Consider the following 15,328-nt stretch of genomic DNA (forward strand, 5'->3'; position numbering starts at 1 on the left):
CCCAAGGACTTGTGACTGCCTAGAAAGAACTTTCTCCTTACTCCAGGTGGCCCTTAAAAAAATCATTTGCTGGAGTCACAGTGCCAAAAGCCCTCTTGGGTGTTCAGAGAAATTGTGGCTAAAGGAAAGAGTTCTTGCTGCCAGATTGTTAAAAATGACTCAAGAAAAAAGGTATAGGAGGTTTAGGAGGAGGGTACCTGAAGCCAGCTAAAGTTGGTGAATCCAGAAGAAACAATCACTCAAACTCAAGAAAGGCAGGCCAGAGCATAAAAATAGGAGAAATAAAGATACCAGAACAGTCTTGGGTCTGCCAGTGCCAGGAAAGCTAGTTCCAAGGTGAAATCTGCCTTCAGGCTCTCCAAATATTTATTGAGCACAGTGTTTGATGGCTTTGGAAATTTAAAAAGAAATTATCTCTCATCCCAAAGAGTCAGAAACATGGCATAGGCATACATGTAGGATAAATTTCTTTCTCCTAGAGCACAATCAGCTTAATAAACTATGTGTCTATAAAACCTTTTGTTTCTTGAATGCATGTTGCTTTTGTAGGCATATTAACATCTTATGGATCTATTAGGATTATCTAGGCTAATATTAGCTCTCCTTTATTACTTGCTATGTCCCTCACATCATACTAAGCACTTAGCATGCCATATCTCATTCCTATTTTACAGGAGAGGAAACTAAGTCTCAGAACAATTAAGTGACTTGCCCTAGGTTAGTGCTACCCAAAGTGCTCTTCTGTGAACTCTGCTATCAGTCAGTCAGGGAATAAGAAATTTATATTAGAATGTAAATCAATATACTGTTTTCTGCATTGAGAAAGTCTTGTCGTGAAGGAAAAAAAAAAACAAAAAACCATCAGCTGAACTAATAGGATGTTTGGTAATGTGGCTGGTTTACATTCGGATACAAGCTCCTTTTCTCCTCCTTGATTCCTTGATGGGTAACACATAGTTTGTGGACTAGCAGTGGTTTGCGAACCACACTTTGTGTTGCCCTGCCCCAGGTCACACAGCTGTGGGAAGAGAGGAGTTGGGATTCAAGTCCAAGCATATCTGGCTTCAAAGCCTCTTCTCTTAAGACCACTATGACCCACTGTTTCCTAGCATTCTGCCACCAACCATTTACTCAATTTCCAGACTATGCAAGGTGGATTTCTCAAGCCCCTGATTAAATGTACCCCAAAAAGATTTATATTCCCTTTCAGGGTGAACAAACACATTAGTCTTAGCAGAACCTGGAGAGTCTTTAAGACAAGTGCATTACGACGTGGCCACAGGCTGGGCAGCTGAGCTGGTGCATCCAAGGAGCAGGGAGCCTCTGAGCCCCAAGCTGACTTAAGACTGATCAGGCAGTGGGAGGCCGTCGACAGAGTCCTTTTCTAGACTTGATTCACTGTAGCTTATAATTAGGCATTGTCGCTTTGATAACTGAATGAATTAGTGAGGATGACACGGGGCCGGGCAAAGACTGAAATGGGGAGGCTTTACACAAATAAACAGCCAGAAAAAATTGATCTGAAACAGAAAGTCAGGCTTCCGTGAAGCTGGAGCCAGGAATTATATAAGGCATACTGTGATAATTTAAACAACAAAGGGCTGGGGGTGTCTGTTTTTCTCCTCATCTGGGAATCTTGTCTGTATTTATATTATCTATGAAACAGACATTTTCCCTTCTCTGACTCTTAAAGGGTAGTATCTAAGAGTGAAAGCATAGTTCATTTTAGTGCAGCTCATTCATTTATTTATTACTTCCTTCAAACATTTATTGAGTTCCAGTGTGTGTCAGGCACTCTATTAAGCACCAGAAAACAAAAAATAAATAAAAATATGCTGAAGCATCGCAGAATTTGAGATAAAACAACTCTGCTGTCATAGATCTCAGCCAAGGAAACGGAAAAGTAAGGAAAGATCGGATGATTACACAAGCTTGTTATACAGGCCTGTAGCTAGACTGAGGCAGGTTAGAACAAACCTTCAGGATAACGATAAGAGTAGCAGGTAATGTTTAAACCTGTACTGATGTACTAACTACTGTGTTAAGTACTTTGCATGTGTTATTGCATTTAATCGTCATAGCAACTCAAAGAGGTAGGTCTTATTATTCTCTTTTACAGATGAGAAAACTGAAGCACAGAGAGGTCAAGAAACTTGTCAAATGTTACACAATGAGTGTTATATCATGGCTGCAAACCAGTGCGGTCTGGCACCAGACCTTTTGTTTTTAGCTTTAAACCTCTTTGAAATGACTTGTTAAGCGCCCCTTCTACCAGCTGAAGCCTATTTTCTCTTTCAATTAATTAATCATGAACAAGCAGCTGCTGAATGCAAGCCACCTACCTTTCTGGGCTTGGGGAAGGGGAAAACAACAAGGCCTGAACTGCGATCAGCTCTCTTGGCACTTACATTCTGGCTGGGCTGGCAGGGCAGGACACATGTGCACAAAACCATTTACAAACAAGATGCTCTTTGATACCACAGCATCATCTGATGTTTCACTGCCAAACTTCATGGTTCACCACATATGCAGAGAGATTAGAAAGGGACTAGAGCAATAGTTCCCAAACTTGGCAGTACTTGGTTTTAAGAACATTGAGTGCACCCCAGATGTATTAGTCCATTCTCGCATTGCTATAAAGAACTACCTGAAACTGGGTATTAAAAAAAAAAAAAAAGAGGTTTAATTGGCTCACGATTCCACAGGCTGTACAGGAAGCACAGCTGGGAGGCCTCAGGAAACAAAATCACAGCAGAAGGTGAAGGGGAGGCAGGAACATCTTACATGGCCAGAGAAGGAGGAAGAGGGTGAAGCAGGAGGTGCTCCACACTTTTAAACAACCAGATCTTGTGAGCACTCACTCACTATCATGAGAATAGCAAGGGGGATGTCCACCCCCATGATCCAATCACCTCCCATCATGCCCCTTCCCCAACATTGGGGATTACAATTCAACATGAGATTTGGGCGGGGACATAAATCCAAACCATATCACTGGAGATCTGGATTTAATTGTCCATTAGGGTCCAGCATGGACATCAGAGTCTTAACACCTACCCAGGGGATTTTAATGTGTAGCAAAGTGTGAGAATGACTGATTTATTGGATATTTTGTGGCAAGTTAGAGTAAAAAACTACAGAGATCACTGTAGGTTATTCATTTTATACACAGCTGCCATATTACTTCCAATTTTTACACAAATGTGCTTGTCTATAACTCATTAACCCTCTGAGTCAATGGCTAGCTACTATTATGCCCATTTTACAGATGAGGGAATTGACGTGCAGAGAGGAAAACAATTGGCCTGGGATTTAAGTTGCAGAGCCAAGACTTCCACCCCAGACTAAGAAGGCTGTTCACTTAACTACTAGTCTATTATGCTTCCCACAGGAAGAAAGAACTCTAGGAAAAGCTAACTCTGAACTGAGTCCTACAAGACAGATGTAAGGCCCAGTAGAGAGGGAGGAGGACATATCAGGGTGGGAGGAGGGTGACAGGGAGTCATGAAACCTTAGAAGCCTCTCAGCATTCAGGACAGCAGACTGCAAGTGTGAACTGAGTGATATCTGGGCTTTTCTGCATCAAGACTACTGTAAAACAGTTGCTCTCAGACTTGAGTAGGCATTCAGGTCATCTGGAGAGCTTGCTAAAATACAGACTGCTAGGCCCTACATTCGGGGTCCCTGATTCAGTAAGCCTCACAATTGCTGAGTTTAAATGCTATAACAGTAATGGAGGCTTTTTTAGTAAACTTACTAAAAAGCAAAAAAAAAAAAAAAAAAAAAAAAAAGCTTTAGTCCATCCCATAAAGCCTAATTTTTGATGAATTTTTTGGATTAAAAAAAATGTAAGGATTGAGCTAAAACTTAGTTCTGGATGAATTCATAATCAGAATTGATAATATATACAGACAAAGAGGAAGAGAGAGAACACCTTAGGAATAGTTAATAAATATTTCTTGTTTGAGGGGCTTGGCAAAAATAAAAATCTTACATACATACAAATATTAGGATAGCTTGAGGTGGGAGAATTGGGGATTGCAGAGCTAATTATACATAGTGAGAGGATTGTGAGGACGTGTCCACAAACATCTTGTTTTTATTATTTCCATGAAGTGAGGATTAATTAACCCCTTATAGTTTTGAGATGGAAAAAGAACATTCAGGCTTAGCTACTATTTATAGAGCCACAACAAGTCCCTGACAGCCATGTTGAATCGCAGCATTCCCTCCAAATTAAAAAAAAAAAAAGGCAACAAATGCAAGATACCACAGTTATGTGTGCTTATGGGCTGATTAGTCCTTATGCCACTGAGATGTTTTATTTAAGGGGAACAAGTAGGTGACACTAAGTTTATGGCCCTGAAGTAAAAATCAGATGCCTGTTATAGTTTCCTGCCTGGAACCCCACTCCCCACACACATTACAGACCCGGTTACGGTTTCCTGCCTGGAACCCCACTCCCCACACACGTTACAGACCCGGTTACGGTTTCCTGCCTGGAACCCCACTCCCCACACACGTTACAGACCCGGTTACGGTTTCCTGCCTGGAACCCCACTCCCCACACACGTTACAGACCCGGTTACGGTTTCCTGCCTGGAACCCCACTCCCCACACACATTACAGACACGGAGCGAGAACGGCCACATGTCCTAAGAGGGTTTCTGATTTCTGGAAGCTTAATAGTAAATTCTATTGAAGGTGATGTGCATATTGTTGAGACTTTACCTGAATGCACTTAGAATGATTGCTAAGTGTGCCTGAGAATTTTCTTTTCTAACAAATTCCCAAGTGCTACTGATGTTACTGGTCCAGAAAGCACACTTTAAGAACCACTGCTATAAAATGCCCCTAATAGGACAAACTTCTGTTTTACAGTCACCAGCAATTGCCTGTCTGTAACTGAAAATAGATCCTGGATCTTAAAATTATTGAACCTGGAACAAATATTCTGGGTGCCACAAGCAGTTTCTGCACTTTTGGATGAAAGATGGAATTTGTTTCTTCTTGGGGCAGAACCTCTCCTCCATCCTTCACAGATGAGCCAGTTTGGTGGTTTTATTTGTGTGTCCATCCATTCCCCCCGCCCCCCCCCAGGAAGTAATCCAAATGAGGATGCTTCAAAGATTTAAAGAATTTCAATCAACAGTATAACAGGCCATTTTTACTGTGGACAAAACACATCTCAGGTCTAACACGTTTTAGGAGTGATACATTCCCAGTGGTGGCAGAGTGAGAACTAAGAGGAAAAAAGAAAAATAGGGACCCCAGGAGCGCTGGACTCCAGGAACGGCAACATTTCAAATCTGGTGATGAGTTTGCCTGGCTGTCACTGTAGGTGCCACTTTCATGGCACTTATATGTGTCAAGAAATTCTCTAACTTCTTTACAGCTACTGATTCATTTAAACCTCATAGCAGCTGTATAAAGCAAATTCTATTTTTACCCCCATTTTATAGATGAGGTTCTGAGGTGAAAGGAGGTTAAGTATAATAACTTGCCCAAGATCACGGTTATTAAGTAGCAGAGCCAGGATTTGAGCGCAACAATCTGGCTCCGGAGTCTGTGCTCTTAACCAGCATGTCTCAATAATGACAATAGCAACTCTTCCTATATACTTTCTCTGTGGTAGCCTGATATTTCACAGGCATTATCTCATGTACTCCCAGTAATTACTGTGTATGAGGCTCTATTGTCATCCCACTCATTCCATAGAAAAGGAAACGCTATGAAACACCTCAACCTGGCAGTACCTGTGCTTTGGGAGAATTAAGGCAGGGACTGAAAGGAGAGCACAGTGGACGCTGTCATTGTGATCCTTGCTGAGAAGCTTAAAGCAGCACCTTGAACGAGAGGGGATGCAATTAGACTGGGTTTGTGGGAACCAGCAGCATTCACTGGAGACCCTTGGGAGGGCTTGAGGAGGGTACCACTCCTCGTAGTCATGATGAACTGGGACTAGACTGTGTTCATTGTGTATTACATGTAGGTAATATATCCATCTGGTGTCTGGAGAACTTGGATTCATTCATGCAACACATTTTTAAAAATCTTTTCTATGGCCTAGGCACTGTTGTAGGAACTTGGGGTTTGTTGTGAACTAAAGAGACAAAGGGCATGCACCCTAGAGAACCACATGTGCTTTTACTGAACAGCTTTTACTGGCAGCAAAGCTCAGATGAAAGAACCCTACCACTAAGGATGCTGAATGAAAGGTCAAGAGGTCTTTCTAATGTTTCCTACATAGAAGATTTTATTATCCACACTCTTGGCCTCAGTTTTTCCTTCTATAAACTGGAGAGTATTCCTATTTTGCCTATGTAGTGGCGATAAGGAAGAAAACAAATAGACAATCAAAAGGAAGGCATACTATGCCCAAGAGCAGCAAGCTCTCCCTCTGCTTTAAACCTACTTTCCTGGAAACTTTTATGTAATTGCCAATAACGCGTTTCAGGAGAGCGGGTGAGGACACGCTGTCTGTTATTCTTCATTTGAGCTCCCGGACTCCTGCTCTCCGGAGGGGCTTGGCAGATGATTAACAAGTCATCTGATGAATATGCAACATGATTCAGGCTTAATAAGTCCCGCAGCTGTTGGGAACTTTACAAGAAAAACAAAGCCACAGAAATATGCGATGTTGGAATACTGCCTGCCAACCTCAGAGTCCCCCAAATAGGGTCTCCCAGCCACAAATGAGCCAGGGCTATTTCTGAGATGCAAAACATGCTGCTGATGGGACATACTGACCCAGTTGGGGGAGACCACTCTAGAAACATCCTCTTTCCCCTTTATAATTTGCCTTCTTATCCATCCACCTCCAATTCTTTTTTTTTTTTTTTTTTTTTTTTTGAGACATAGTCTCACTCTGTTACCCAGGCTGGAGTGCAGTGGTGTGATCTCAACTCAGTGCAAACTTTGCCTCCCGGGTTCAAGCAATTCTCCTGCCTTAGCCTCCCAAGTAGCTGGGACTACAGGCATGCACCCAATTTTTAACAGAGATATGCATACATACACATCCTGGTTTTTCTATCAACTCAGAAATAGGAAATGCTTCCTTAGGGACAGACAGAATGGAAAGAGCTGGGATCCTAAGATAGACCTGAATTAAAATCCTGGTTTCCTCTCTTGCTAGCTATGCAGTTTTGGCAATTCATTTACATTTCAACCATCCAGTTCACCATTAGCAAGATGGGCATAATCACCCCTAACTTATGGTGCTGTGACAAGGCATGTTAGTAGAGCACTTGGAATACAGTTGGTGCGTAAGCAGTAATAATTATGTTGTTAATATCATCATCGTCATGTTACCATTTTACACAGGAAGAGATCAAAGCCTTCTTCCAAGTTTTTGTGGACATGTGATTTTCTTGTCCCAGTTGAATTTCCCTTTTCTGGTGGTAGCCCCCTAGTTATCCTCTTCCCCAAAATATAGTGTGGATGGAATAACTCTATTGCCAGCTCCAAGCATGGCTACAAAATCCATTTCTGAAGCTATTCAGGGTACTCCAAATGCCCGGATGCAACAATCAGTTCTTAGAAAGGCATGTGAACCAATCCAAGCCAAAAATATGCAATCCTCTGACGTTACTGGAAACTGTTAGAAAAAGGAGGTATGGTCTGGACTTAAACTCAAGAAAATATAAACACAGCATTGTGTGGGAACACTAGAAACAGGATGGCTGAGACCAACAAAAAACACAGAGGTGAGAAACAGAAAGACATTACTCTGACAACAGTGCCTGAGCCCCTACATCCAGCTATCTCTAAAGCCCTAGAAATTTCAGGGTCACAAAGCAACACAATTTGGGTGCTTAAGCTACTTTGCCTTAAAGCTTTCGCAGGTTTGGTCACATGCAAACTAAACAGGCCTGACTTTGTGTATTTTATTGTATGTAAATTATAACAACGAAAAATATTTTTAAAGTCATTTTTTTTTCTGAGTTCCATATAGCTCAACATGTCTTCCCAGGAACAATTCTCATTGCCACTTCTACAAAGACATTTCCATGTAACTAATTTTTGGCACATAAATGTAGACCAAGTGCTAAAAGCAGCAGGTTCACACCACCTCCTACACAGTATCTGTGATTTGACACAGTCTTGCATATTCAATAGCAATGTTAATGGATGCATTTTGCTCTAACAAAGCTAGGTGGTTTTTAATGTTTAAAGATACGTACATTATAATTCACAGCACTTGTAGACACTGATGTTTAGTTTCTGTTTTTAAGATTGTTATTTTAAAATGTGGGGATCTTCCATGAAACATTAAGGTCTTGTTTACATGCAAACTACAGTTTAATTCTGCAAATCAAAGAAGTTTTATGGGACTCTTTGAGGGGAATGTACATATTAACCACAGTCAGCCTCTTCCCTTTAAGCTTGCTGACATATGGTAAAATTTGCCTCCTTGTTTTCTTCAATAAAGTGCTATTTGTGCTTTGCATTTCTCATTAACGATTCGATTTATTTCAGCTCATTAAAGCCCGGATAAAACCAATGGAAAGGGCATATTGTCCATGTAGTTTCTTGTGCCTGGAAATGTTGCAGGCGAGCGTGGACAGAGAAGAATCAGAAAGATTGACAGAGTACACTGGGGCCTCTCCCATATCTATAGCCCAGCTTGGAGTGGGAGAAATTTCTGGGAGCACTGTGCTTTCTACCCTCCCACTTTTGGCTTCCTATGACTGAAACCATCCTTACAAGGTTAACAAGAACTACATGCAGGGCTCTGGGCAGAAATATAGTTACAATTAAGTATTAATCAGGCTGCACTTTGGCTTACTTCCATGTAATCAAAATTTTGTCACTTAGCACTAGCCGCTGACCATTTGCATACCCATTGTTCCTACAGATAGGATCACTGACATTAGAATCCTAAGCCTTTTGCTTAAGAATTGCTTGGGATGTTCTTCAGATGTAAATTCCAGTGGAAAGAATGACACCAACCAGTTTGAAGACTCCCAAAGAGGAACCAAATCAGCATGTGAGAATGCAGGTTCTCCACATCCCCATCCCCTGACTTCATCCTGCACTCTTCACCCAACCAATGATCTCCACACCTTGGTGCAACCCAAAATTCTTAAAACTTCTAGCTCCAAAGTTTTCGGGGAGGTGGATTTGAGGTTTCCTTCCATCTCTTTGTTCAGAGGCTTTATTAATAAAACTCTGTGCTGCAACCTTCAGTGACTTGCTGCATCTCTGGCAACTAACATGTTACCATCACATGGCAGCCAAATTATTCTCAGCACATAGTGACTAATCTCCATTATAGCTACTTAATGTCTTTATGTTCTATTCTATATTATAGCTACTTATGTTTTTATTTCTTCATAAGGAGAGAAGTGCGTTGCAGGTTGGATGTGCACATGCCTTTGAGTTGGACAGACCTCAACTCAAATCCTGGCTGTAGCCCCCCAAAACACAAGGTCATTCACCTGGCAACTAACAAATGACCTCCATGAGAATTCAGGTTTTGATGAATAGGAGTTTTATTTAGTTGGCACAAGTAAGGAAAACACTGGGAGTATTCTCCGAAGCAATGTCTCCCTGAGAGAAAGTGACAGAAGGGTTTTATGGGGTGATGGAGAGTGGGGAGGGTACATCATTGCATGTAGAGGAGGGGTCCCATTGCACAGATACACTGAGTCATTATGCCAGCACATAGGTCACATATTATGGCAATAAAGTTATAGCTTCTCCCAGGGTGGAGAGCACGGTAATGAGGAAAGTTCACCTAGGTTCATCTGTAAGTTGCCAAGGCCTGTCAAAAGCTGGTCCCAACCAACATGGTGACCACATTCAACCTAGGGTTTGAGAAAAATAGGCTGCAGGGTAGGAAGCTGTAAAGCAGGCTGGTTGCTCAAGTTGATTGAATTCCTAGAGACCCTCCCTGTCTGCTTACATAACCTAAAATCTGAGCCTTGATTTTCTCATCTTTAAAATGGGGCCAATTATATCTATCTTCCGGGGCAGTTAAGATTCAATGGCCTAACACCTGTGAGGCCCCCGGTCCAGGTTCTGATCCATAGGAGATGCTCTACAGATGCTCATGTCCAGGCTCTTCTGCTCCTCAAATGCTCCTCAAGGGCAGAGCCCATGAGATTTTCCCCTTTGGGTGCCACCAGCTCTCAAGCAAAGAGTACGTCTTAAATGTTTTTGGAATGAATGTATGGATAACAATGAGTTTTCGTTCATTAGTGCAATTATTTGAATAATGTTTGTCTCTCTGCCACTAGACTGGACTATAACAAACTCTAGGAGTTGGGTGTGTATTTGCCTTTGCTTATTATTCTCTCATTTCCAGCAAAATCCTGGCATGTATAAGGTATTAAATAGATCTTTGCTGAATAGATGAACACATCATTGGAAGCAACACTAAGAAATAAAGCTCTCTGGGCATGAGGGGTGTAAGTGTGAGTGTGCACATGTGTGTGTCCATTTACATTTCATAATCAGAAAAGACCATTGTATTATTACTCTAATACAATTCCATTCCATTCCAATGTATTAGTGTTCCATTGTATTAGGATTCTGAGGTAGAGAAAGAGGCAACACTGAATAAAGGTATATGGAGGTGGGATGAAAGTCTCTTTTGGAAAAGCTGGAGAAGGAATGAAAGAGGAGAATCAAAGTCTGGTTTAGAGTTTACTCCACAAAATCCATCTTAAGAGACAAAAACAATTTGGCCTCAGAACTCAAAATCTTAATGTTACTGACCACAGGTTCTTGGGCCCTCAATGCAATAGAAATTGACAAAAAGCCAAGAGTTTTTCCAGACAGGGCTTTCTTGGTGCTTATGCACAGGCATAAGGTAGGCAACCCAAGAGACAGAATTCTCAGTCTGGCTCCCCAAAGAGAGTCAGGAGAGTAATTTTAAAGGGGCTAAAGCAGGAAGAGCATGAGGTTTAAGCATGCAGAGGTGGGGAGCTTCTGGCACCAGCACAGTTTGATAACATAATTCTTTGTGAGTCACATGTCTCAATAGCATATTAAATCTCCACCCTGGGCATGGTTTTTAGTATTATAATGAAGCTAAGGTGAAGGGTGAAGGATTGGTCATCCTTCTGGTCTTGTGTGCATGTAGGAGATGGGGCTAACTCCCTTGAGTAACATTTAAGATGGGAGCTGATTATTTCAGCCTCCTCAAGGTCCCACATTCAGTGGGCATGGCACCTTGAGCAAGATTTACGGTGCACAGTCTGGACGGTCTGACTGGAGCTCCTTCTGGCTACACCCCTGTCACCAGCTTGCAATAGAGGTCACTGGTGAGGCATGGGAGGGAGCCAAGTCCTATCCCTACTCTGCCTCATTTAACAAGCTAATAAAAGTAAATATCATTTTATAAACAACACTCAATACTATCTTCAGGTTGCAAGCTCCAAATTTATCATTTCTTTTATTGTGACCCTGTTTCCAGGATGTGATTTATTCATTGCCTTGCCAAGACCAAGGCATCTTGGCATGAACCAGTTTGGCCACTGTTTTGGTCCAGACTGCCTTGATTGCTGTCCTGCCATCCACCAACCAAGCTGGAGAGGGATCTATAACTCAGGGATTCTACCACCTGTCAGACTCTGTGTGTTACCCTTGAAATTTACTGGCTTCTGGGTCCTGAGTCCTGGCTCCTGCTTCCCCCATGTGATTGTGGAAACCATATCTCTTTGTCTCCCTGCTCAGCCTACCCATATAATATAATCTAGAGTATGTTTCTTTTCTGGTTATAAAATGTAAAAATTTGGGGAAAAAAGCACAAATATAGATAAGAAAATTAAAATCACCTGTAAACTCAATACCCAGAAATAACAACTTTACAAGTATACACACACATACACCACATACACACACAACACACACCCTTTTTATCCCCCATAAAATTGAAATTTTACTCTTCATATGTTTGTAACATTTCTGATTTGGTTTTCTTTTTGCTAAGAGTACATTGGGAACATACTTACTCCAACATAAATATTCTTTAAGTTTTGGTTTTTAGAAACCATAAAATATTCACAATATACCATATATTTTAAAGAAATTTCATTTGTTGGTAACAGTGCAGTTTTCTATACTTTACAATTATAAATCAGAATGTCTTTATAAGAAATTCCTAGATCAAAGGCTACATATATTTTAGGATTTTTAACATATATTGACAAGTTGTCTTGCAGAAACATGAGACCCATTTCCACTGTACACAGCCTCGACCCTGAGTACTATACATTTTTTCATGCTTTTTGTGATGTAAAAAAATCCAATACTATTTCCTAATAGGATTTGTCTTTTCTACTATATTTGAGTATGAGTTACTTACAAAGTAAACTTATTCTCTTTTGTTCATATAAAATATATGCAACTTTTTCCCTGTATTTTGTTTTCTTTTGATTATACATATGGAATTTACTGATACATAGAAGATATATGAACTTCAGTAACCATTTAAACATTTAACTAAACATTAAGTTAGTTTTTAACAAAAAATTTTAAAAGTAAAATATACATCAAAAATTTTAAAACAGAAAAAAGCATATAGAATAAAAATATAAAGAAAAAATATTTTTGCACAGCTGTACAATGTGTTTTAAGCTAAATGTTATTACAAAAGAGTCAAAAAGTTAAAAATTAAAAAATATATAAAGTAAAAAGTTATAGTAAGCTGAGGTTAATTTATTATTGAAGAAAAAGAAGCTTTTAAATAAATGTAGTATAGCCTAAGTACACAGTGCTTATAAAGTTTATAGTAGTGTTTGGTACCATCCTAGGCCTTCAGATTCACTCATCAATGACTCACCCACTCACCTAGAGCAACTTCCATACTGTAAGATCCATTCATGGTAAGTGCCCTACACAGGTGTACCTTTAAACACTTTTAAACACAAGTCTGCTTTTGTGGTTATTATTTTTTTACATTTAACTTTTAAAACATTGTTTTCTCAGTGTATAAAACTGATAATTGATATACAGTGATCTGTCACTTAACGTCAGGGATATGTTCTGAGAAATGTGTCTTTAGGTGGTTTCATCATTGTGTGAACATCATAGGGTGTCTGTCCTTGCACAAACCTGGATGGCATAGCATCCTACACACCTAAGCAATATGATACAGTCCATTGCTCCTGGGCTATACACCTGTACAGCATATTACCCTACTTAATTCCGTAAGCAATTGGAACCCAGTGGTAAATATCTGTGTATCTAAACATCTCTAAACATAAAAAAGGTAAAGTATAGTATAAAAGGTACACCTGTATAGGGCACTTACCATGAATGGATCTTATAGGACTGGAAGTTGCTCTGGGTGAGTGGGTGAGTGGGTGAGTCATTGGTGAATGAATCTGAAGGCCTAGGATGGTACCAAACACTACTATAAACTTTATAAGCACTGTGTACTTAGGCTATACTACATTTATTTAAAAGCTTTTATTTCTTCAATAATAAATTAACCTCAGCTTACTATAACTTTTTACTTTATATATTTTTTAATTTTTAACTTTTTGACTGTTTTGTTAAACTAAACATTTAACTTATTTTTACACAAGTAGTAAAATCTAAACTAATAAAAAGTATAGTATAGCAAATACCTAAACCAGTAACATAAGTTGTTTATTACTGTAATCAAGTATTCTATACTGTACATAATTATACTCAACTTTTATGACTAGCAGCTCAGTAGTTTTGTATCCACGAGTATCACCACCAACATGGAGTAATGCCTTGCACTACAACATTACAACCTCACTGAGCAATAGAATTTTCCAGTTTCATTATATTCTTATGAGATCACCATCCTACATGTGGTCTTTTATTGACCAAAACTGTTATATGAGGTACTGTGTGTATACACATATTATATAATATGTATATACGTGTTTATATATGTCTATATGTGTGTATATGTGTATATATATACATATATATGTATATTTGTGTGTATATACACACTTTTCCAAATGGTTAACCAGCTGTATGGACAACATTTAGTGAATAGTCCATTTTGACGATTTGCAATGCTACATATATCATGTACTAAATACCATTTTTTCCTTGGGTCTGTTTCTAGAATTTCCATTCTATTTCATTACTTGCCCACTGCTATTCTCACTTCATGCTATTTTGTTCATTGTTACTTGAAAAACCTTATTTAATATCTTATAGAGCAAGGAATCTCCTGGCCTATCGCATTATCTTACAAAATGTGCTTAGCTATACCCATCTTTTAATTTTTTTCCAGATGAATTTGATTATCCATTTTTCATTTTTAAAAGTGCCTCATTAGAATTTTGATATTAATTGAATTTAAAGTTGTGTAGAATAGTAATCTTCAAAATCTTGAAAGTTTTCATCCAGTAAATGATGCTTTGCTCACTTTTTTTGAAAGAAGTTTACAGGTGTTTTAAAAGTTTTTAAGTATTTTTTATAGATTCTATATACAGAATCTATATATATGTCTTATGAGATTTGTAAATTTTTTTTATTTTTAGTAACCATTGTGCATGAAATCTTTAATTTGGCATTTTCTTTCTAGTTTTTACTAGTATAAAGTGACTTCTCTATATTTACTTTGTAACCAATCAATTTTCTGTACTCATATTAGTTTCACTTTTTTTTTCTTTCAGTTTGGTTCTTTTGGGTTTTCTGGGAAGACCATCACTATTAAAAAAAAGGATAATTTTGAATCCCCTTTACAATATGTCAGCTTTTTAATTCTTTTAATCACATTAGTAAAATTTTAGGATCACTTTTGCTTTTGTTTTAAAATTAATAGACTTTATTTTTAGACCAGTTTTAGATTCATAAACTGAGTTGGGGGACAGATGCGGTGGCTCACGCCTATAATCCCAGCACTTTGGGAGGCCGAGTCGGGCAGATCACCTGAGGTCGGGAGTTCGAGACCAGCCTGACCAACATGGAGAAACCCCATCTCTACTAAAAAAATATAAAATTAGCCCGGCATAGTGACGCATGCCTGTAATCCCAGCTACTCGGGAGGCCAAGGCTGGAGAATCGCTTGAACCCGGGAGGTGGAGGTTGCAGTGAGCCAAGATTGCGCCACTGCACTCCAGCCTGGGCAACAAGAGCAAAACTCCATCTCAAAAAAAAAACAACAAAAAAAAACAAAACTGAATTGAAAGTACAAAGAATTCCCACATATCTTTCATCCCCACCCCCAGACACACAAATACTCCCCACTATCAACACCCTGCATTAGTGGAGTACATTTGTTGTAATCAATGAACCAACATTGACATATCTATGTCATCCAAAGTCCACAGTTTACATTAAGGTTCACTGTGTTTAAACTCTATTGGTTTTGATAAATGTATTATGT

At 39.4% G+C, this 15,328-nt stretch overlaps 1 annotated feature.

The window, feature by feature from the left end:
• Positions 8,638 to 9,139: an enhancer, noted in NCBI's record as "NANOG hESC enhancer chr10:113597616-113598117 (GRCh37/hg19 assembly coordinates)". NCBI's record gives its function as "activates a minimal SCP1, AML or CMV promoter by ChIP-STARR-seq in primed H9 embryonic stem cells {active_cell/tissue: H9 hESC(primed)}" and the evidence as "EXISTENCE:reporter gene assay evidence [ECO:0000049][PMID:30033119]".

The sequence above is a fragment of the Homo sapiens genome, chromosome 10 (genome assembly GCF_000001405.40).
Source record: "Homo sapiens chromosome 10, GRCh38.p14 Primary Assembly".
NCBI classification, from domain to species: Eukaryota; Metazoa; Chordata; class Mammalia; order Primates; family Hominidae; genus Homo; species Homo sapiens.